Below are 22,164 nucleotides of genomic sequence, written 5' to 3' on the forward strand. Positions count from 1 at the left end.
GGGTCTCACTGTGGTGCCTAGGCGTGTCTCAAACTCCTGGCCTCCAGTGATCCACTTCTGCCTCCCAAAGTGCTGGGACTGCAGGCGTGAGCCATTGTACCCAGCCCCCCTAAAGTTATTTAATTGAATATCTGATGTTCAGATTTCCCGTTGTCTTAGTATGTTTTAAAAAATTGTGCCTGTGCACACATACACACACATACACACACATACACACGTCACATGCATGTGTACACATATATATGCATGTAGTGCACACCTGTACATGGGTGCACACAAGTACATTTGTGCAGCAAACCACAGCATGTGTATGTGTATGTGTATGTAGATGTACCTGCAAGGTATGTGTGCATAGGGTATGTGTGTGCACATGCACAAATGCATGCATACACATGTATGCTTGTGTATGGAATCAGGAACCAGACAAGGTCTTCACCTGCATCTGGTTAGTTTACTAGCTGTTTTTTTTTTTTTTTTTGGAGACGTCTTGTTCTTGCCCAGGCTGGAGTGTAGTGGCACGACCTCAGCTCACTGCAACCTCTGCCTCCCAGGTTCAGGTGATTCTCCTGCCTCAGCCTCCTGAGTAGCTGGGACTACAGACCCCCACCCACCACGCCCATCTAATTTTTGTATTTTTAGCAGAGATGGGGTTTCACCATGCTGCCAGGCTGGTCTCGAACTCTTGATCTCAAGTGCTCCGCCTGCCTTGGCCTCCCAAAGTTCTGGGATTACAGGCGTGAGCCACTGAGCCCGGTCCCTCGAGTCTTTTTAAATCGCCAGGTCCTCCCTCTTTTTTCTGTGCCATGTATCGTTGAAACCAGGTCGTTTATCTTGTGGCCTCCTGGTCTGGTTTTGCTGAGTGCGTCTCCGTGGGGCTGTTCAGCATCTTCCTGTCTCCTGTGTTCCCTGTAACCTGGCAGTGGGGGAGGCAGCCGGCCATGCTCCATGCACCCACCACGGTGGGTGGTGCTGTGTGCGTGTTCAAACAGCTGACTCATTAGCAGATTGGTTTTATTTGATAAACATCTTTCCAGTCCTTACTTGAGTCCTATGTTAAAAAACATACAGGAGTTTGTGCCTATGACAGACGTGATGCACGGGGACACACAGGCCAGGCGAATGCTCTCATCACGCTTGCCATTCTCACTCTCTGGGGTGCCTTTCTGGTGGTTTCCATCTATGGGAAACCATGCACAGGTGGGGTCTATCTGTGTCATTTAGGAAAACAAGCTGTGTGGCACATCCTGGCACATCCTGCTCTTCAGCCCATGAAGGAAGCTCTCAAAACACTGCGGTGGGGTAAGGTGTTGGCAGTGTGGATTCACCGTCCCAGCAAGGAGCTACCTTAGGGTCAAGGATGAGTTCTGAGAAATAGGAGAAAAGAAAGACTCAGTGAAGAGGAGAATCAGGTATGGTTACCCAGAGGAAGGGCAGAGGATGCTGAATCCCAGTAGAGTGATGCCCGCTCCTGGGCTGTGGGCTGAGATGGCATTTCATGCCCTTGGGGGAGACCCTGACCCTCACCACCAAGCCCGACAGGTGTGGTGGAGCAGGGGGTGCAGGTACTGTTAAAGGTGAGATCCACTTGGCAAAGATTTTATGTAACTCAACTAATGAGGGGACCTGTAAGATGTTACAACCGCTTGAAAGTACCACACTTACGCAGGGAAACGAATGCTAAGACAAATTGCAAATAGATTCAAACTGGCAAAAGGTCAAAATCCACAGTAATAATCACATCCCACTGGGCAGGCACATTGAGCTTCCTACGATTTCGAGCTGTGAACAATGAACAGCAAAGAGCAAAGGTGGAGAGGACCTGGATGGCTGCTTAGACTCCTTAGGTTGAGCAAAGGGTTTTTTCCTTATGCCTATTTCAAGGTCTCTCTGTTTTTCCTGATAGTCGACTCTTCTGTCAAAAGCTTGGTGAGCAGGAGGGAGGGTTCCCATAAGGTCTTTTGGGGAGGGAAATACCAGAATATGGGGTGACCCCGAGGGGAGGGGCTCTAACAGATGAAGGCCGCTTGGTAGCTTCATTGTCGGGGTGCAGGGGGCGAGCTGGGCTGCGGTTTCCAGCCTCCAGGCTGAGCCCTCACCTGGATCGGCCCACTCTCTCCTAAGGGATGCAGCCAGGCTGTGGCTTTAACGTGGCTGGTGTGCTGACTGCGCAGTCCTGAGCCCTGGAGCGGCGCGCACTTGGCCTGCCTATTTTCCACATCCCAGGCCTCAGTGCCGGGCCCTCCAGCTCCCGGGGCCTGCGCCTCCCGCAGCCTTGGCTGTTTCAGCAGGTGGCACCGCGTCCTTCCCCGGAGGGGGACTGACACCCTGCAGTTACCCCTGACCCTGCCCTCCACGGCTGTTGGCACATCTTCTCCAGAACCCAGGGCTCTCAGCCCCTCCATGGTGCCCGCACCCGGCCTCCGGCCTCGCCCCGCCGCAGCCGCGAAGGTCTTCCCGCTGCCATCCTTGCCCGCTGGGCTGTTCTCAGCGTGGCCGCCAGGGATGTCCTTTGAGCTCATTCGGTCCCGTCCCTCCCCTGCGGGAGGTTCTCCAAGGTCTCGCCCTTGCCGAGGGTCGAAGCTCAGGTCCTTGCACAGGTCCCTGGGGCCCCGGGCCAAACGGGTCGTCCCCTGATCCCTCTCCTGGCCCCTGGCTCCCCTCCAGCCCCGGGACCTTGCGGGGCCCTCCCTGCGTCTCAGGGCTCCGAGGTCCTCGCGCCGCCTTGGATCTGGACTTGGGTGTGGACCTCCCCGTCCGCCCTGCTCGCTGGAGCGGGTCTCCACGGGGCTCGGGGCGGAGGCTGTGGAATGGCCGGGAATGCGCTCCGGCCGGGCAGCGGCTTCGCTCGGTAGCTGCCGTATCTCCGGGCCGTGCCCAGTGCTTAGTTTTCTGTGAATGAATCAATGTTGAGCGGAAACTTCCGTCAGGCTTTGAACCAGGCCCTGAACGTTTGCGATGCTAGGGACGCGCCCGTCAACCCGCCGAGCCGCCCTGTGCCTCATGCGGCGACCGAGGCGCCCTCGGGAGACGGGCCCTGTCGGGTGTCGAGACGCGAACACGACCCAATGCCAAGAACGGGCGGTGAAGATGAACGGAAAAGCCCCAAGCAGCGGCGGAACGGCGCGCCCGTGCACAAGTGCGACCCGCGCCCGTGTCCCAAGGAAAGAAGATAAAAGATAAAACGAAAAATGCCCCGGGGCTTTGCGGTGACTCACGCCTGTAATCCCCGCACTTTGGGAGGCCGAAGCGGGCGGATCACCTGAGGTCAGGAGTTCAAGACCAGCCTGGCCAACATAGCGAAACCTCGTCTCTACTAAAATTACAAAAAAATTAGTCGGGCGTGGTGGCGCGCGCCTGTAATCCCAGCTACTCGGGAGGCTGAGGCAGGAAAATCGCTTGAATCCAGGGGGTGCAGGTTGTAGTGAGCCGAGATCGCGCCATTGCACTCCAGTCTGGGCGACAGAATAAGACTCCGTCTGAAGAAAAATAAAAAACAAAACACCAAAAAAAAAAAAACGATGGTTAGATGCCACGAAGTAGGTGGCAATGCCTTAACCGTATGCGTGTTGTCAGGCCCGAGGGCCTCTTCCATCCTTGTCAAGGGGAGTGCTAACCTTCTCTCCTTTCATACAACACGCCTCGGCTTCCCTGCGCACTTTATTTAAGGACGAAAGCTCCACTCGCCTTTCGGTGAGGGTGACTTCTTGTTCGCTATCCATGGAGGTACATTTATAAAAATGTCACGGTTCAGTGGGAAACCACAAATGTTCGCATTCAATTAATCGTCTTTTTTAAAATTTGAACGTGTAAGAAAAAAATCTACCACTTTTCGTGCCCTAATATATTCATAAAAGTAGCCAATTAGAAGCTGAGGGGAACAAACGGAAGTCCCGAGCGTCCTTCAGAGAAGTAGATTCCCCCGGAAACAAAACAGGGCGGGCGCGCACCTCCTGCGGCGACACGCCTAGCAGACGGCGGAAGGCGGGAAGAACTGTCTACGGAAGTGGAAGGTTGGTAACGAATCAGAGAACAAGGATCGGAAGATCCGTTCCACGGACTTCCGGACGCGGCCCTGCCCCGGGAACTGCGGGTGTTCAGGACCCTGTGGTGCGCGGGACGCCGCCCGCGCATGCGCCGCGCCGGCTCAGCCCCGTTTTCGCAAGCTCTGCGTGGTCTTGGGTGGCGAGTTCGAGCCTTAGAACGGCCGAGTGCCCTGGAACCGGTTTCGGCTCTGGCGTCCTCGCGTGTCCTCCGGCTCCAGGTTACAACGTCAGTATTGGCGCCTTGGCGCGGTCCCGTCCTGCTCTCGTCCTCCGTTCCGTGGACCCCGGGGCTGTTCTGGCGCCTCGCAGGCCGGGCCCCTCCCATCGACTCGATGGGCAGGGCTCTGCGAGGCTCGGGGACCGGGGACGCGCGGCCTTCCTGACAAGGAGCCCGAGGGTCTGCACAGCCTGGGGCACCACCCGGCCTGGTGAGGATGATCGCTGTGCGCGCGATGCACATGCGCCCTCAACACCTCTGCACATTCATGCACGTGTCCATACATGGGTGCACACACGTCCTTACACGTATGTACATACGCATGTGTACACACGCCCATGTCTACACGCGCACATGTCTGCACACGAGTCACACGTGCAAGTGCACGCATGGATGGTGGACACGCGTTTACACACGTGAATATGTGTATACACATGCAGACACATGTGCCTGCCCACATGGATGTGTGCACAAACAAGCACAGAGGTCCTCAGTGGCTCACTCCTGGTGGCCGTGTGCTGTGGGCTGGGAATGGCCATACTCATTTCTCAGAGCTTTTGAGTTGTGTGTGTTTCCAGTTGTGCATATTAATTAGAAAAAACAAAAGTGAATTTGTAGGTTAAGGCAGGTCCTTAAGTTTCCTTAATTTCCTCTCCCTGGAGACCTGGCAGGCTGGGCCGGGCACTGCTGCGGAAGGCCAGCCGCACCCTGAGTCAGGTCTTCTCCAGAAGGTTCAGGGCAAGCTCTGGATTACAGATAGGAAACCAAATGCATGAGGAAGGCACTGCTCACCCTGCAATGACGGTCAAGGTGTGGGGTGGGGAGCAGCAGCCTGGAGGTCAGAGCCAGGACCTTGGGGGCTGAGAGTGGTGTGCTTGCCTGGTGATCTTCAGCAATGGGAGGCCTGGTGTCACCCTGGGGCCCAGACTGTGAAGGACTGGTGGCTTTGGGGATCTGCGTGATCCAGGGGGCCCAAGCATCTGCCCAGCCGGCATTCTGTGCACTGCCCACCTGCCTGTGTTGTCAACGAGGACGGGGTTTGCTAAAATGCAGATTCTTGCCTCTTCCCTAGTCTGAGTCCAGGGTCTGTGGTCAGGCCTGGGAATCTGTATTCATTGAGGCCCTTTGGGTCCCGCCATCATAGCAGCCTGTCTTTACTTTGGGTGGAGGTCGGAGGTCTGCACATCACCCAGGAGGCTTACCAGTGGTAACCCAAGAAGAGGGAAGATGGCAAGAGGGTCTTTGCAGGGTTGGGAGGGCAAGGATGGAAGGACCTGGGAGGCCACAGCACCCTCTCGGACTTGGCGCAGAACCCGTGGAAACAGCCTGCGATGCACGGATGGAGGTGGCTTTGCCCTGTGTCTGCTGGTGCCTCTGGAACTCCGGCTCTGACAGACGCTGCGTCTCCTGCTGACTGCTGCATCCCAAGATGAGCCCAGCGCTTGCACACAGGGCGTCCCAAAGTGTTTGTTGAACAAAGGCATGATCAGTGTTGGTATTGCCCTGAGACTCATGCCCTCAGCCCCGATTCGGGCACATGGCTCATGTCAACCGCTGGAAGTCCCTCTGGGGCCCACAAATGTCTCTAGACCACAGGAAGAGTCGGCCTGGCTCCATGTGCCTGGCGCCTGGGGCAGAAAGGTGGACGGGGCAATCAGAGTGGTCACCATCGGGGAGTACACTTTGCACTCCACTCGAGTCTCCAGGGATATAACTCACTGGATCCTAAGTCTCACTTTCTGAGGGCCGTTCTTAGAGTCTCCTGTATGAAATCAGGCTACATCCAGAGAAAGTTCCAGAAATAAGAAAAGATGAGATCGCCTACTGACCCTCCCATTTTTTGCACACGGACACTGAGGGAGGGGAGGAACTTGCTCAAGGGCACCACACAATTTTTTTTTGAGATGGAGTCTCAAAGATGGAGAATTCCTCCAACCATGAGGAATTTGAACGCTTATCCCGAATAGTGGAAAATGAACGTCTCATGGAGTTAGGGCCTGTCACCACCTGGGGATCTACAGTCAGACATGGCATAGAGGATGCCCTCCCAGATCCCGCTCTGTCTCCCAGACTGGAGTGCAGTAGTGCCACCTTGGCTCACTGCAACCTCCGTCTTCCGGATTCAAGCGATTCTCTGGCCTTAGCCTCCTGAGTAGATGGGATTACAGGCGCACACCACCACACCCGGCTAATTTTGTATTTTTACTAGAGATGGGGCTTCACCATGTTGGCCAGGCTGGTCTTGAACTCCTGACCTCAAGTGATCCACCTGCCTCAGTCTCCCAAAGTGCTGGGATCACAGGCATGAGCCAACATACCCAGCCCACCCCATGAGTTATTGCTAGAGTGGTGGGGTAGGGACCCGGCCCCCAGCTCTCAGTGCTGGACATGGGCAGGGTGGGCATGGGTTCCCTTCCAGCCCTGGCAGAGCCCTGGACCATGCGTGCTTTTCCCCTCAAGTGTCGAGGCAGGCAGGGCTGCTGCATAGAATACAAGATGCCCCATTGAGATGGAATCTCAGACAAATGAGTCATGTTTTACTGTAAGCATATCCCAAATATTTCATGGGACACACTTATACTAAAACTTATTCATTGTTTATCTGAGCTTCAAATGTAGTGGAGTGCCCTGTATTTTTATTTGCTAAATTTGGCAGCCCTAGTAACGGGAGCTGGAAGGCTTTTGTTATTTGCCCTCAAGCAGCATTTCCTGGCATTGGCTTCAGTGACCAGTTGTCTCTTGAAATGTCCCATGGACAGAAGGGAAGAAAACTGGGAAATACTGTGTTAAATAAACTTGCACAATTCCTTTTTTTTTTTCTTTAAAGAAAAGCCTAGCCGGGCGTGGTGGCTCACACCTGTAATCCCAGCACTTTGGGAGGCCAAGAAGGGCGGCTCACAAGGTCAGGAGTTTGAGACTATCCTGGCCAATGTGTTGAAACCCCATCTCTACTAAAAATAAAAAAATTAGCTGGGTGTGGTGTCGGGTGCCTGTAATCCCAGCTACTTGGGAGGCTGAGGCAGGAGAATTGCTTGAACCCAGGCGGGAGGTTGCAGTGAGCTGAGATCACGCCGCTGCACTCCAGCCTGGGCAACAGAGTGAGACTCCGTCTCAAAAAAAAAGAAAAGAAAAGAAAAGAAAAAAGCCTATTAGTTGGCAGGAGGGCTTATGAAAATGAGGCCTGGGGGATGTGTCATTTACTCAACTGTCTTGGCTAATGGGATCTCTAGGCTGGTGAGGTTGCGTTCTGTGTTTTTTTTTTTTTTTTTTTTTTTTTTTGAGACGGTGTCTCGCTCTGTTGCTGAGGGTGGAGTGCAGTGGTGCGATCTCGGCTCGCTGCAACCTCTGCCTCCCAGGTTCAAGCAATTCTCATGCCTCAGCCTCCAGAGTAGCTGGGATTACAGGCATGTGCCACCATGCCCAGCTACTTTTTTGTGTTTTTTCTAGAGACAGGATTTCACCATGTTGGCCAGGTTGGTCTCGAACTCCTGACCTCGAGTGATCCGCCCACCTTGGCCTCCCAGAGTGCTGGGATTATAGGCGTGAGGCACCGCTCCTGGCTGTGTTCTATGTTCTGTAAAGGAAAACAGTGCAGGTAGGAGAAAAGAGGGGCCTGGGAAGGGAAGAAAACAGCAGGGAAGAGGAGGGCTGAAGACAGAGCAGGAGGAAGGCTGAGTGGCTTTAGCTCTTTGGCCTAACCCAGACCAGTCAGAGTTCACTCTGGGCACCTCCCAGTGGCAGCCACTTGATTTGCAGGCAAAGAGCTTGGAGACCGGCTCTGCAAATTCAGCCTTATCCATGTCCACATGGGTATGGCCCCGGAAAGCACTCAACAAATATGCACTAAATGGATGACTTCAGGCAGTGATCCAGATTATTCAGAGCAGAAAGCTGCTTGGGCTCTGATTACAGAAAAGTACTCCCCGCTCATCCGGATGCAGGGATACCTTCCAAGACCCCCTGTGGAGGCCTGAAACTGTGGATTGTACCGAACTGTAGAAATACAGTACTGTTTTTTTTTCCTATACATACATACCTATGATAAAGCTAGGCACAGTAAGAGATTAACAGTAATTACTAATGATAAACAGAACGATTGCCACAATATACTGCTGTAATAAAGTTAGTGTGTGTGATCTCTCTTTCACAATATCCTAGTGTTCCATGCTCACCTAGTTTCCGGCCACTATTGACCGTGGGTACCTGAAATTGCAGAAAGCAGAAACTCAGATAAGCAGGGACTACTGTACTCTTTTTTTTTTTGAGACAGAGTCTCGCTCTCACCCAGGCTGGAGTGCAGTGGTGTGATCTCGGCTCGCTGCAACCTCTGCCTCCCAGGTTCAAGCAATCCTCCTGCTTCTACCTCCCAAAGTACTGGGATTACAGGCATGAGCCACCACGCTCGGCCCTGTACTCTTATTTGCAGGCTCACATGGCTTTAGGGAGACTGTATTTTCCAGAATGCTGATGACATTTCTGCTCCAGATCTGGGGAAGTGTTGGTGAGTCAGTACTCAGCAGGATAGAAGGCTGAGGACAGTTTGGGCCCCCACAGGTGGCCATTCTCCCTCCCCAGAAACCTGGCCATGTGGTGGGCCGAGGCTGCCCGCTCTTTCGAAACTCCAAGCTCTGGGCACCCACAAGGAAGGAAGGACGAAGCGAGGGTGGAGTGAGTGCAGTGAGAAGCGCTCCTCCCGGCCGCCAGCACCATCCTGCGGAGTTAGTGATGTGGCGGGATCAGAGTTCAGTCTTTACAGGGAATGTCTCCTGGAGACACATCTTACTGGCAGCATCTGTGGGCTGCCTGGGGTGGGGTGAGGCAGGAATGGGGTGGCCTGACCCCTGCCCTGCCCACCTCTCACGCACGCACCTCCACCCACCTGCTGGCTGGTCCCAGAGGCCTTCCTAGGTTCCCGGGAGGCTCTCCGCTGGGAGCCAGGGGAAGTGTCAGAGCCAGGGCGACATTCCCAGGAATAGCGAGAGGCCCCAAGGACTCATTCCCTTTCAGAACGGAAGGCCTCGGTGACCCAGGACCCTCCTGGGGCCGTCACAAGTCTTCGAGTAACCACTGGGGCCCAGCGGGTGAGCTTCAAGGCCACTCCTAATGGCCACCACGCTGACCAGCAGCTTTTCGAATGGGCTGGTCCTTTGGAACTGCCCCTGGCTGGTGGGTGTCCCTGCCTGCCAGCCCCCGTCCTGCTGGCCTTGGCCTGGGTGGTGGGCTGGCCCCAGGGTGGGGTGTTCCTCCTACCCCTGCCTCCGCTTCCATCACTTTTTTTTTTTTTTTGAGACAGCGTCTCTGTTGCTCAGGCTGGAGTGCAGTGGCGCCATCTCGACTGATTGCGACCTCTGCCTCCTGAGTTCAAACAATTCTCCTGCCTCAGTCTCCCGAGTAGCTGGGATTACAGGCGCCCACCACCGCTCCTGGCTACTTTTTGTATGTTAGTAGAGATAGGGTTTCACCATGTTACCCAGGGTGGTCTAGAACTCCAGACCTCAGGCAATCCATCTGCCTCAGCCTCCCAAAGTGCTGGGATTACAGGCTTGAGCCACACAGCCTGGCTGCTTTGGTCACTTTGGGAACAGTATTCCAGTGTCAGGCTGCTGGGCTCGGGAGCTTGGGTGTCTGCCCCAGTCAGTCGCCCCTCTTGGGGTGGGACACCCAACAGGCATGGAACACAGGGTACCTGTGTCTTTTAGGGTGCAGGGCTGGGCAGTTCCAGCAGTGTCCACCAGGGGGCGGGGCCGCACCGCTCAGGGTGGAGCTGGAGCCACCAACCCGCATCCTGGCTGGGGCTCCCGGCTCTCACCACAGCCCTCTCCGCCTGGCTTCTCTGGGCTTGGGCAAGGCCCCTAACTGTTCTGTGCCTCAGTGTCTTTCCCCTTGAAGGGACTGATCTGCAGAGTGCCCGCCCTGGGGTTGAGCTTATGGTGAGGGCTCGGTGGCAGCCAGCCCTGACTGTCCTGTTTACCCCATGGAGAAACTGAGGCTGGAGTGTCCGCTGGACATCCGAGGTGACACCCTCAGGTGCAGCTGGCAGCGGGGCCCCAGGAGATGCTGGGAGATGCCTAGATTTGTGGGGTTCTTGGTATGTGCCCAGCACGCAACAGTTCCAGTTGCAGTCTGGACTCTCTCTGGCATTGTTTTTTTCAGAAGGTCATGTTTTCTGTGTGATACATAGAATACCTGCTCACTATAGAGACATTTAAAGCAACACTGAGCCGGGCGCGGTGGCTCATGCCTGTAGTTTCAGCTACTCCGGAGGCTGAGACTAGAGGATCACTTGAGCCCAGGAGTTCAAGACCAGCCAGGGCAACATAGCAAGACCCCATCTGTAAAAAATTTTTAAAATTTACCCAGGCGTGGTGGCACGCACCTGTGGCCCCAGCTACTCAGGAGGCTGAGGTGGGAGGATTGCTTGAACTTGGGAGGTCGAGGCTGCAGTGAGCTGTGGTTATGCCACTGCACTCCAGCCTGGGCGACAGAGTGAGACCCCATTTCTAAAAACAAACAACAAACTAAACGACAGGGAGAAAGAGTACAATAAAAACTAAAAAGAGCTCTAATCTTACCAATCAGCACGTGACGGGCACCACTGGCGTTTCTACGGAGGAGAGTCGTTGGCATTCCTGTGGGTTTTCTGTTTCCCATTGGGTCCAGAGTGTGGAGCAGCTCAGGGAGGCCCTGCAAGGGTGAGGGAAGGACGCAGCGTGCCTTTTTGTGTGTTCCAAGGTTTCCTGGGACTGGAAGACTCTGTCAGTGATGTGCAGGGGGAGCAGGAGGGTCCAGATAAGGCCCTTTCAGTGCTGTGTATCGAAGGCCCCGAGGGTTTACAATGGGATGTTTCCCTGCATGCAGATGCCTTCCCCGTCACGTCCTGGGTTCCTGAGGACCAGGCACTTTGCCCGAAGTACACAGTTACTGTGGTTTCTTTTTGCCGCCCCACCCCCCCGCCCCCAGCACTATTATGAAATGGATATTGGCCTTGAAGTAGATGGTGTCTTAGGAAGGAGAAAAAACATTTCCCTTCACAGTGCCTGTGGTGACCTCTGGGCAGAGTGGTAACCGCCCTGCCTGGCAGGCCCAGGACTCCCTGGATTTCTCCGACTCTGCAGGGATGCCCCCATGGCCTCCCAGTCAAGCCTGCTCAAGGGGCTGCCGTTCCCTGCTTCTGCAGAGAGGGTGATGACTGTCTAGGGGGAGAAGACCTCTTCTCAGGGCTCAGGGGCCTCTATTAATAAAGTGACTGCTGACCCCGGACGTACGGGAGGGAGGAGGGGATGGAACGTTCCCAGGGTTGGCGTTTGGCCGGAGACGCTTCTTGCCTGACCCAGTGCTGGCCTCCTGAGCATTCCGGTTCTGCCCTGGACCCCGAGGCTCCGATGGGCCGGAAGCCCTGCATGGACCAAGTGCTGGGGCTCCCCTTCCTCAGGGACATAAATCTCCCTGGACTGGCTCCCTGCGAGCGTCCTGAGGGCCTGAAAGAAGGAGGGACGGAGCCTCAGGCCTATGGGACCAGGAGGGACTCAGACATAGGCCATCGACCCTCCAGGAGCTGGCTCACAGCTGTTCTGGAAACTTCTCAGGCTGCACATGATCCGGCTCTGCCTCTAGACCCCAGAGGCAGCCCGCAAGAGGGCTCTTGCTGTAGTTCGCTCGCGTTCGGTTGTTTCCATGGGTGTTAGTGGGTGTGGGCTGGGGACAGGCAAGAGGACAAGTCCTCTCCACCATCAGAAGCCCGGCCTGTGCTGCAGAGACAGGAGGATGTGGTACAGGCCAGTGAGCCCAGCTCGTGTGTCTTAGTTTAGCCACTCACAGACCCCCGTGCAGTTCTCTGGGGCTGAGGTCCTCGGTACCCCAGGAGGGGAGGCAGGCGATTTTAACAAGTCATTCTAAGGACAGCACGGCTGGCAAGAGGTGGCCACTGCTGTTGCCCGGACGGACAGGTGAGAAACCCAGGGCACAGAGAGGCCACTTGCCGGCCCTACGCCACACAGGGAGTGCGGAATGACTTTGGGATAACTCCACACACACCGCGGCAGCCCCTACTTACGAGAACTTTGCGGCAACCTTGAGTGTGGGTTCTAAGCAGAAAGAGAGGCCAGGCTTCAGGGACGGGTGGTGCCACCAGGAGGGGCTTTTCTGGTCTGACAGGCCGAGTGGGGCCGGGGCCTTCGGGAGGGAGGCCGGGGCCTGCGCGGTCACCGCTGTGCCAAGGAAGAAGGCACTCCAGGCAGGGATCTGGCCCAGGCAGAGGCCCCGGGAGGGCTGCTGGTGAGGCTGCGGGGTTGGGGCTGGAGTAGGAGGTAGAATCTTCTTGGGACTGGCCCAAAAGATGTCACAGCACCAAAGTGTGGGCCAGCCTCGGGGGTCCCTCCAGGTGACATTTCAGTGCCCCAGGAGAGACCACCTCGGAGACTTGGCCCCGCAAGGCCCTAGCGCACACTGGCGGGGAGAGGCTGCCTGTTCTCCCTGCGGTAAACGCCCCGGGCCGACAGACTGGGCCGAGTCCCGTGGGCCTGGGGTCGCTTTGGTGGGTGCCCTCCCCTGCCTCGGCATTTGGACCATCCCAGAGGCTGCAGGGATTTAACTCAGGGGTGGGTGCTGGTCCCTGTAGTTGGAGCCCCGAGACCCTCCGGCCAGAGGAAGAGCCCAGCATTCCCGGCACCCATGAGAGGACCCGAATAGCCCGTTTTGAATCATACCCGCTGCCTCCACGCCCCTCGCCTGCCTCCTGCGCCCCTCGCCTGCCTCCTGCGCCCCTTGCCTGCCTCCCACGCCCTGCACCCCCATGTACCACGCCGTGTACTCTGGGGCTGGGGAGCCCTGGGGAGGCTGAAGCACTTACAGAAGCTTCCCTGGGGCACCAGAGCTCGGTGAGGGTGGAGATAAGTTAGTTTAAAAAATGCAGCCAGACAGAGCACGTGGAGGCACGAGTGGTGCCAGCTTTGCCCTCTCTCGGGCCTGCCAGTCAAGACCCCTGCCCTCTGAGTGCTTGCTGCGCATGGGCTGGAACCAGGTGCCCACGTGCATGATGTCTGGCCCCTGGGGGCTGCGCATTGCTTCCTCTTTGGGACTGCGGAGAAAGCAGAAGTTCAGAGAGGACCTCCAGCTAGTAGGGAAGAGAGAAGGAATTTGCAGGCAGCTCTGTGTAACTGCAGAGCCCAGGCTAGCCCCTGCCGTCTATCAGAGAAGCGGAGTGGTGACTGATGTCTGCTGGGAGCCACAGCTCCCTCATCCCCATTGCTGCAGATGTTTGGGAAATTCTGCTCGCAGCTCTCCCTGGGGGCCCACATGCACAGTGGCTAAAAACTCTGAGAAGTCCTGCATGGAAGAAATCTGCAGCCCCTTGCCCACCCAGTGCTTCCCAAACTTCCGCCACCACAGAGCGGCACCCATAACCCTCCACCCCTGGTCTAGGGCTCCGCAGACACACATTTTGAAAAGCGCTGCCCTTTAGAGAGCTGGGGGCAGGACGTGAGCTGATGGGAGTGGGAGGCGAACTCATGTCTCTCCTCTGCCTGCAGGGTCCATCCCAGGCAGGAGTGGATGGTCCCTGGGGGTCAGATGTGGCGCTGGGCTGCTGTGAGGGGCTGCAGTCAGGCTGTCCAGATGCCGGGGACCCCAGGGCCACCCTTTCCCTTCTCTGCCCCTGTTTTCTCCTCTGTAAATGGCAGGAGAAGCTGTGCCTGCTTGGTAGGGCTGTTGGGGGATGCCAGCACCTGGCGCAGGGAGACCCTTGACCATTGGCAGCTGTTGGGGCCCTGCAGGCGGGGGCTCAGGCTTGCTGGTCTGAGAGGTCTGAGTAGGGCGGGATCCTTACGGGAGGCAGGCCTTGTTGCTGCGGGGGTGTCCTGCCCTGCGCTAGGCCTGGTGAGAAGAGGTCCCCAACAGGCACGTGGCCTGGCCCTGTTGGAGCTTCGGGCTGGTTGGGTGGAAGAACCAGCTCTAAGCAGATGATTTCTGGATTTGAGCCATTCAGGTTCTGGGAGCTGGGGAAACTCATTTAGGGGTGGGCAGAGCTCGTTCCTGAGGAAACAGCGTGGAGGACGAGTTGGAGTTTGCCAGGGAAGAGGGGAAGGAGAGGGCTCTGGTAAGAAGAGACAGCTCTGCAAAGGCCCTGAGGCTGGGAAGAGCAGCCGCTCCCCAAGGACAGCTAGGCGGGGGCGGGGCCCAGGCGGGGGCGGGGCCCAGGCGGGGGCGGAGCCAGGGAGGAGGAAGGTGATGGGGTCAGATTCCACAGGACCCAGCTTCCTCCCTTCCCTGAGAGGTGGTTTGGGCAGAGGTGGGCAGCATGGAGGCGGTGGCCCAGGGAGTCCCTGTGGTTGCCCGGGTGGAGTGCGGGGCTGGCCTGCCCCGGTGGGGACATACGCGCTCCAGGCACCCAGCAGCCCTCACCCAGCCCATCCGTCTTGCCCCGGGCCCCCGGGTGCTGCCGTCTGGAGGGTGCTCTGTCTGGGCCTTGCCCTGGGGAGGTGGCCAGCCCAGATCCTCTACAAACAGCTCGCCCCTCCCAGCTGCCCCCATCCCCTGATGGCCCCCACTGTGGGAGATGCTGCTTTGGAGAGGGGCAGGAAGTGTCGCTGTGTTGGAAATCTGGGGGCGTGGGTCTGGAGGTGCACGCTCGATGCCCCTGCCCACACGGGGTCTGTCACGGTGCCGGGTTCTGAGGGGCTGGGGGGGCCCAGGGTGGGCTGAAGGACCCAGCGCAGTGGGTGACAGAGCAGGAGGTGCTCCCAGAGCTGTCCTTGGTGAGGGAGGTGTGGCGGTCACTGGTGGGGGCTTCTGTTGGTCCCTCCTGCTGTGAGGGGCGCTGCGTCCACTTGGGGGCAGCTCTGTCCCGGCTCCCACCTGGAGGCAGGGGAAGCACTTTGCCCAAGATCATGGGAGGGTCGGGTTGGGTGTCATCTTTCAGGCCACAGGCCCTGGCCCCAACGTCCCGGGGAACAGTGAGGACACTGCCCAGAGCGCCTGGACCCTGACCCAGGGACCCTGGCCTTGCCCCGTGGCCCTGGCAGCCTCTGCTATTTCTGGTCCTGCTGAGCTGGGGCTGCTCATGGCCGCCGCTCCCTGCAGGCGCCGCACGCGGTTGCTGGCCGCAGAGGGGACCCCTGCATATGCTCCAGAAGTGCAGGGTGACCAAGCACCTCCTGTCAGCTGGCCTCGGGCTAGACGCTGGGGGTGCAGTGCGAACCCTAAATAAAGGCAGGAAGGGCCCTGGCGCTGCCCCATGGAGCTCTGAATCCAGTGTGGTCGGCACACAGCGGTGTCGGGGACACAGACACGGAGGTCCCGCTAACTAAGGCTGGGTCCCGCTTGGTCCCTGGGAAGCAAGGACAGCTCTCTCTGTGGGTGTCCAGCGGCTGCTGTGACGAATGAGCACATGCTGGGAGGCTTCCGACAACAGAGAATGATTCTCTCCTAGTGCTGGGGGCTGAAGAATCGGGGTGTCTCAGGGCTTGGCCCCCTCAGAGGCTCCAGGGGAGGGTTCTGCCTGCTGCTTCCAGCTTCTAGAGGCTCCAGGGGTTCCCTAGCTTGTGGCCACATGGTTCCCATCTCTACCTCTATCTTCACACAAGCCTCCACTTCCCCCATGTCGCTCCACTACTGCCTATGTCTCTCCTCTGCCCGGTGTCTCCTCTCCCTCCTGTGTCTCTCCTCCTCCCCCCGTGTCTCTCCTCCCATGTCTCTCCTCCTCCCCCATGTCTCTCCTTCCCCTCCATGTCTCTCCTCTCCCCACCGTGTCTTTCCTCCTCCCCCATGTCTCTCCCCCCGTCTCTCCTCCTCCCCCCATGTCTCTCCTCCCCCATGTCTCTCCCCGTCTCTCCTCCTCCCCCCATGTCTCTCCTCCCCCATGTCTCTCCCCGTCTCTCCTCCTCCCCCTGTGTCTCTCCTCCCATGTCTCTCCCCCCGTGTCCCTCCCCCCATGTCCCTCCTCTCCCCCTGTCTCTCCTCTTCCCCCCGTGTCTCTCCTCCTCCCTGTGTCCCTCCTCTCCCCCGTGTCTCTCCTCTTCCCCCCGTGTCTCTCCTCCTCCCCCGTGTCTCTCCTCTTCCCCCCGTGTCTCTCCTCTTCCCCCCGTGTCCCTCCTCCTCCCCCGTGTCTCTCCTTTCCCCCATCATGTCTCTCCTCCTCTCCGTGTCCCTCCTCTCCCGCTGTGTCTCTCCTCTTCCCCCCGTGTCTCTCCTCTCCCCCCATGTCTTTCCTCCTCCCCGTGTCCCTCCTCTTCCCCCCGTGTCCCTCCTCCTCCCCGTGTCTCTCCTCTTCCCCCCGTGTCCCTCCTCCTCCCCGTGTCTCTCCTCTTCCCCCCGTGTCCCTCCTCTCCCCCGTGTCTCTCCTCCTCCCCGTGTCTCTCCTCCTCCCCCTGTGTCTCCCTTCTGTATGTCTCCTAAGGACAGTTGTCATTGGATTAAGGGTCACCTGGACAATCCTGACAGTCTTCTCCCCAGTAACTTAGCCACATGTGGGAAGACCCCCTTTCTAAAGAAGGTTCCAGCCACAGGCTCCGGGGGCCACGGTCAGCCCACGACGCTCTCCACGCTTCAGTTTCCACATCTGTAGAATGGGGATGCAGTGAAGCCTGTCGGGCTGGGCAGTGAGGTGTAGTAATGGCACCGTGACTTTTGTCAACCCCTCTCCTGTGCCAGCCCAGACCCTCCTCCTTTGCCACCCGAGGTGAAGCCGCCCCTCCCAGGACCCAGGACCGGGGTTTTAGCCCCTGCTGGGCAGCCTGTCCCTCCCGTGTGTGGGGAATGGGGAGATTCTTGCTGGGGATGGACAGGGGCTGGGATCTTTAGCCCCGGATGGAGGTCTGCACTGTGACATGTGGAGCACGTGATTCCAGGGCCTCGTGGACCCAAGAAACTGGGCTTTTTAGTGCTTCCAATGCACCTTCTGTCAGCCCCGATGAAACGCACAGGTGACACGGCACCTGCCATCCACGCCAACCCCAGCTGCACCCCTCGGGCCCTCACCCGTCCTTTCCACCCCTCGAGCACCCCCAGTTCTTCCTGCTTCAGGGTCTCTGCCGCTGCCCCGTCTTCTCCAGCCTGCTGGGCTGGCTGTGCTGTCCCCACCGGGTGCCTGAGCTGGATGTGGTCGCCCCACCTTTTGCAGGGCCCTGAGGCGGCACCCACTGCTGAGGCCCCACTCCTGCGCTGGCCAGGCCTACCGTGCCATCCAGAGGGCACAAGCAGGGGGCCTCATGGCAAAGGTGGCACCAAGGGGCTTCAAATTCACAGCTGAGGGATGTCAGGGGAGAAGGAGAGGGCTCCAAGTGGGGGCGACAGGAGTGAAGGTGAGAGAGGAGGCGTGCCCGGGCATGGCATGGATGCCCACCAGGCATGGGGGTTGCCGTGTGAGTGTGCTCTGCCCACCGGTGGGTAGGGGCAAAGCACACTTCTGTGCCAGGGCATCTCCATGGGCCGGCGGTGTGCCTGGCCTCTGGGGAGGCTGAAATGGCCCAGCCAGCCACAGCCGAGGGCCCTGCCAGGTGGGGCAACTGCCTGGACACTGACCCTCCCAATGCCCCTTTCAGTTTGGTGCCACTGGCCTCATTTCAGATGAAGCAACGTCTCCTTAGAGAGGCACATGCACCCCCAGTGTCTCCCAGCCAGGCCCTCCTCTCTGCATGGGGTCCGTGGTGAAGACGGGAATGGAGGGGGCTGGCGGCCAGGTCACAGCTGTCCACACACACAGTGCCTTGGCCCGGAAGATCCTGCCGTCGGCCCTTCTCGTTAGCAAACAGGCCCGCAGCCCTCTGCCACTGCCAGTCCGTGTGGCTGCCCGGCTCCCTGCAGGGCGCCCTCGCTGGCTGACGGATACCCGCGTGCTCTCATTTCTTCCTGCCCGGGTCTCCTATTTATTTAGCCTGGAGTAACCCCTGCTGTTGCCTCTGCTCAGCTGGGAGCTAGCATCCTCTGTGCTTGGCCCTGCAACCTTGGGATTCTAGTCCCCGTGTTCCTCTGTCTTTCCAGGCTCTTGTCCAGTGTGAGCCCAAGGGACCCATCATTCAGGCTGCGGTGTGGACTGAGCACCCGGGGCCAGTGCTGCTGAGTGTTGAGCTCTCTCCCCTGCTTCCTGTTTCCTCCCCTGCAAACTCGGGTGAGCCCACCTCTCTGGAGGGGCCAGGCTAGGAGCAGACAAGGCCCTGTGTGCACAGTTTGAATGACACCAGCACACACCGTGGGCGCTGGAGAAGACCAGATGAGGTGATCCGCGGGTGTGGGCTCCTGGAGGGACCAGGTGCGTGCCGCGGACGGTTTTGTCTGAGCTGAGAGCGCATTTCAGGTTTCTAGGGAGGCCAGGAAGCCCTCAGGAGGGGCTGTCCGGATGTCCCACACTGGGAAGAGGTGGCATGGATGGGCATGGCTTCTAGAAGGAGGAGTCTGGGGGCGAGCATGTGAACAGGTTAGGAAACTGCAGAGCTCAGGAAGCAGCCTAGCAGGTGTCAGCCAGGAGTTCTGGGAAGTCTTTTTCAAAGAGGTGAGGCTCAGCTTTGATCTGAAGGACAAGAAGGAGCTGGTGACACGGAGATCTGGAGAAGGGGAATTCCAGATGCTGGGGCCAGCACGTGCAAAGGCCCTGGGGTGGGAATGAACCAGTCCTTGGAGGATGAGCCTAGGAACAGGACGAAGCTGGTGGAGGGGGCTCTTTGGGAGCCCAGAGACGCCTCCTTGTGCAGACAGCTCCCCATCTCAGCCTCAAGGAAGCGGCCCCGCCAAGCCTGTCTTCCTCCGTGGTACTTGCGGGTGGTCCTTCCTATGCTGGCCTTGTCCTCTCCCTCAGCCGATGGCTCCCTCGTGCACTCGATCATTGTCGCCTTTGGCCCCTCACTCCCCCCAGTACCAAGCAAGTCCCCTGACCCTCACACTCCAGGCCTCTGATGTCTGCAATCCCACCTTAACCCCACACCCATCGACACCCCAACTTCCAGCACCTCTCACACCCTCTCACCTCACAACCCAAAACCCCCAGGGCCGGATGAGCCTCACCCCCGCGGTGTCCTCTCTGTGGCTGTCCCTCTTGGGAGCTGCCTCCTTTCACTGCATCCCTGTGCGGTGAGCTCCCATTCCACCCCGCGCCCCTCTGGCCGTCCTGCCATTCCCTGGCTCATCTCACAGAGAAACCTCAGCGGGGCACGATGCCCTCGCAGCCCCCACTCCCTCCCCATTCACCCACAGATCTCCTCCACTCCAGCCCGGCTCCCCCTCCCCTGGGGATCCTGTGACCTCCGCATGAGGGTGCGTCTCCTCCTGAGCGTGGCCTCCTCCTTTTACCTTTCCTTCCCTCTGGAGGTCTCTGGGCACCCCCCTCCACCATCCCTTCTCCGTCCCCGCTGGGCTGCCCTGTTTTTTCCACCAGGGTGTCTGCAATTCAATGTGTCCAGTGCCCAAGTCCGAGGGCCCCTTGCCCACTGCCCAGGCCAGCTCCCCTGCTCCGTCCAAGGTGCTCAGGCCCCGAATCCCGGATCCTTGCTGGCTTCCTTTCGCTCACATCTGCCCGCATCCATGAGGAATCCCTGCTGCCTCCTCCCTGCAGGCCCAGGATCCATCTTCTTCCCCAGCATGCACCCACATGCCAGGGTCTCTTCCTGGTCTCCTATCCACCAGGCAGCCAGCCCAGGTCAGAGCCTGGAGCTCCTCTGCCCCAGCCAGCCAGGGCTCACCAAACCCCGGATCCTGCCTGGCTTCTGAGGCCCTGTGGGGCTGCCCGCCATCCCTTGGGCCTCCACTGCCTCCTGGCTCCTCCCTGGATGGCCGAGCTGGCTCCAGTCCGTGATGGCCCCTGCCCTCTTCAGCCTGGGCCATGCTAAGGGCATCACACACCCACTCCCGCCCTCACTTCTCTCTCCACACCTGCAAGGCCTTCCCTGGCCGCCTCAGCATCCCTGTGTCCCATTGGCCCCCTGTTCTTCACAGTGGGGACGGGTTCCCATGTGCACAGCTGTCTCTCTGCCCCGGTCTCCTCCTGGCATGCAGCCTCCTCGACGGCTTGCTATTCCATGGTGGAATTGCAGGGCTGCAGCAGGGCCTGGCTCAGGGCAGCAGCCCACGGGAGCGTGGGGACTGGGATTGGGAGGACGGGAGAAGGAGAGGAACCAAGGAGAGATGGAGACAGAGTCCCCCATCAGAGAGAGCAGGGAGAGGGGGTGAGGTGGCCTCCCTCTGCCCCTGGACCGTGTAGGAGGGCAGGTCCCCCAGAGTGGCAGGTCCCCCGGAGTGGCAGGGACTTAGCAGTGTGCACTCCCCACTGTGCCGCCTGCAGGACCCACAGAGTTTGGGGGTCACTGGGCACACACGCCCAGGCAGCGCTGAGGGTGGACATCCTGTTGCTTTCAGGGGCCTCCTGGAGGTGGCCTGTCTTCACCTGTGAGGTGGGCATGGCATACGCACCAGCTGCCACCTGCCCACGGGTCCTGCTGCAGCTGGGCCCAGCTGGAGAGGTGTGCAGGATGTGGGATCCCTGTGCCAGGACCTGAAGGTTGAATAGCAGATCATCAGGTGACACAGGGTGGCCTTGATTTCAAAGGCCACTGCCTGGAACTGAGACGGTGACAGGGCACCGGCCTGGGATGGCCCGGTCACAGCCACGCTCCAATTTTGCCCTCTGAGGCAGTGGGTGGGGTCAGGTGTCGCCACCATGGTTCTAGGTGAGAGCTGCGGCCAGGGGTGGAGTCACTCATTCAGGAAACTGCCGTGGGGTTTGCAGACAGGACTCCCAGGCACCAGACCACAGCCCCCTTCCCAGCTCTGCAAGGAGTTGTTGAAAAGCAGTAATGTTTAGTGTTTTATTGTCATCAGGAAAGTGAAACAGATTCGTTATTCAAAGTATAGAAGAATAGGCCAGGCGTGGTGGCTCATGCCTGTAATCTCAGCACTTTCGGAGGCTGGGGTGGGCAAATCCCTTGAGCCCAGGAATTTGAGACCACCCTGGGCAACAGGATGAAACCCCATCTCTACTGAGAGAGAAAAAAAAAGGAGCCGGGTGTGGTGGTGCACGCCTGTGGCCCCGGGTACTCTGGAGGCTGAGGCAGGAGGGATGACTTGAGCCTGGGAGGTCGAGGCTGCAGTGAGCTGTGATTGTGCCACTGCACTCCAGCCTGGGTGGCAGAGTGACAGTGAGACTCTGTCTTTAAAAAAAAAGAGAAAAGAAAAGACAAAGGGACTTAGAGGTATAGAAAAGTAAAAAAAGAAAATCAATTGGACTACCCCTGTCAATATTTTGTAGTAAATTTTTGCTGCTATTTTCCCCATGTGCTGTGTGGTGTGTGGTGTGTGGTGTGTGGTGTGTGGTGTGTGGTGTGCTGTGTGTGGTGTATGTGTGGTGTGTGTGGCATGTGTGTAGTGTATGTGGTGTGGTGTGTGTGCTGTGGTGTGCTATGTGTGGTGTGTGATGTGTGTGGTGTGTGTGTATGACGTGCCTGTGGTGTGGTGTGCTGTGTGTGGTGTCAGTGTGTGTGGTGTATGTGTGATGTGCTGGTGTGTGTGGTATGTGGTGTGTGGTGTGTCTGTGGTATGTATTGTGTGTGGTGTGTAGTGTGTGTGGTGTGTGTGTGTGGCATGTGTGGTGTGTTTAGTGTTTGGTGTATTGTGATGTGTGTGGCGTGGTGTGTGTGGTGTGCATGTGGTGTGTGTGGCATATGTGGTGTTTGTGTGGTGTATGTGTGTGTGGTGCGTGTGTGTGGCATGTGTGGTATGTGTGGTGCGATGTGTGCTGCATGTGGTGTGTGTGGTGTTTGTGTGCTGCATGTGGTGTGTGGTGTGTGTGGTGTGTATGATGAGGTGTGGTGTGTGTGGTGTATGTATGGCATGTGTGTGGTGTGTATGGTGAGGTGTGGTGTGTGTGGTGTGTATGGTGAGGTGTGTGTGTGGTGTGTATGGTGAGGTGTGGTGTGTGTGGTGTGT

The 22,164-nt window shown here is 58.2% G+C and overlaps 2 long non-coding RNA genes and 1 other non-coding gene across 3 annotated transcripts in view, besides 3 other annotated features; 1 reads left to right on the plus strand and 2 right to left on the minus strand.

Annotated features, from left to right (window-relative positions):
* Positions 2,653-3,618: an enhancer, noted in NCBI's record as "H3K27ac-H3K4me1 hESC enhancer chr9:137028703-137029668 (GRCh37/hg19 assembly coordinates)". NCBI's record gives its function as "activates a minimal SCP1, AML or CMV promoter by ChIP-STARR-seq in primed H9 embryonic stem cells {active_cell/tissue: H9 hESC(primed)}" and the evidence as "EXISTENCE:reporter gene assay evidence [ECO:0000049][PMID:30033119]".
* Positions 3,033-3,272: an enhancer, noted in NCBI's record as "active region_29271". NCBI's record gives its function as "activates an Ori minimal core promoter by ATAC-STARR-seq in GM12878 lymphoblastoid cells {active_cell/tissue: GM12878}" and the evidence as "EXISTENCE:reporter gene assay evidence [ECO:0000049][PMID:35858748]".
* Positions 3,510-11,097, minus strand: LOC124902297 (uncharacterized). The gene is made up of 2 exons (XR_007061834.1): positions 10,833-11,097; positions 3,510-7,834 (listed from the first exon to the last, which is right to left on the minus strand). It is a non-coding gene; the product is annotated as an uncharacterized LOC124902297 (long non-coding RNA).
* Positions 3,511-3,636, minus strand: RNU6ATAC (RNA, U6atac small nuclear). The gene has a single exon (NR_023344.2). It is a non-coding gene; the product is annotated as an RNA, U6atac small nuclear (small nuclear RNA).
* A 6,899-nt stretch (positions 11,098-17,996) lies between the features above and the next one.
* LOC124902298 (uncharacterized) overlaps positions 17,997-22,164 on the plus strand; it is a 27,764-nt gene continuing 23,596 nt past the window's right edge. Inside the window, exon 1 of the long non-coding RNA XR_007061835.1 lies at positions 17,997-18,502. This is a non-coding gene — a long non-coding RNA (uncharacterized LOC124902298). The remainder of the gene's footprint in view (positions 18,503-22,164) is intronic.
* Positions 21,029-21,188: an enhancer, noted in NCBI's record as "active region_29272". NCBI's record gives its function as "activates an Ori minimal core promoter by ATAC-STARR-seq in GM12878 lymphoblastoid cells {active_cell/tissue: GM12878}" and the evidence as "EXISTENCE:reporter gene assay evidence [ECO:0000049][PMID:35858748]".

The sequence above is a fragment of the Homo sapiens genome, chromosome 9, assembly GCF_000001405.40.
Source record: "Homo sapiens chromosome 9, GRCh38.p14 Primary Assembly".
NCBI lineage: Eukaryota > Metazoa > Chordata > Mammalia > Primates > Hominidae > Homo > Homo sapiens.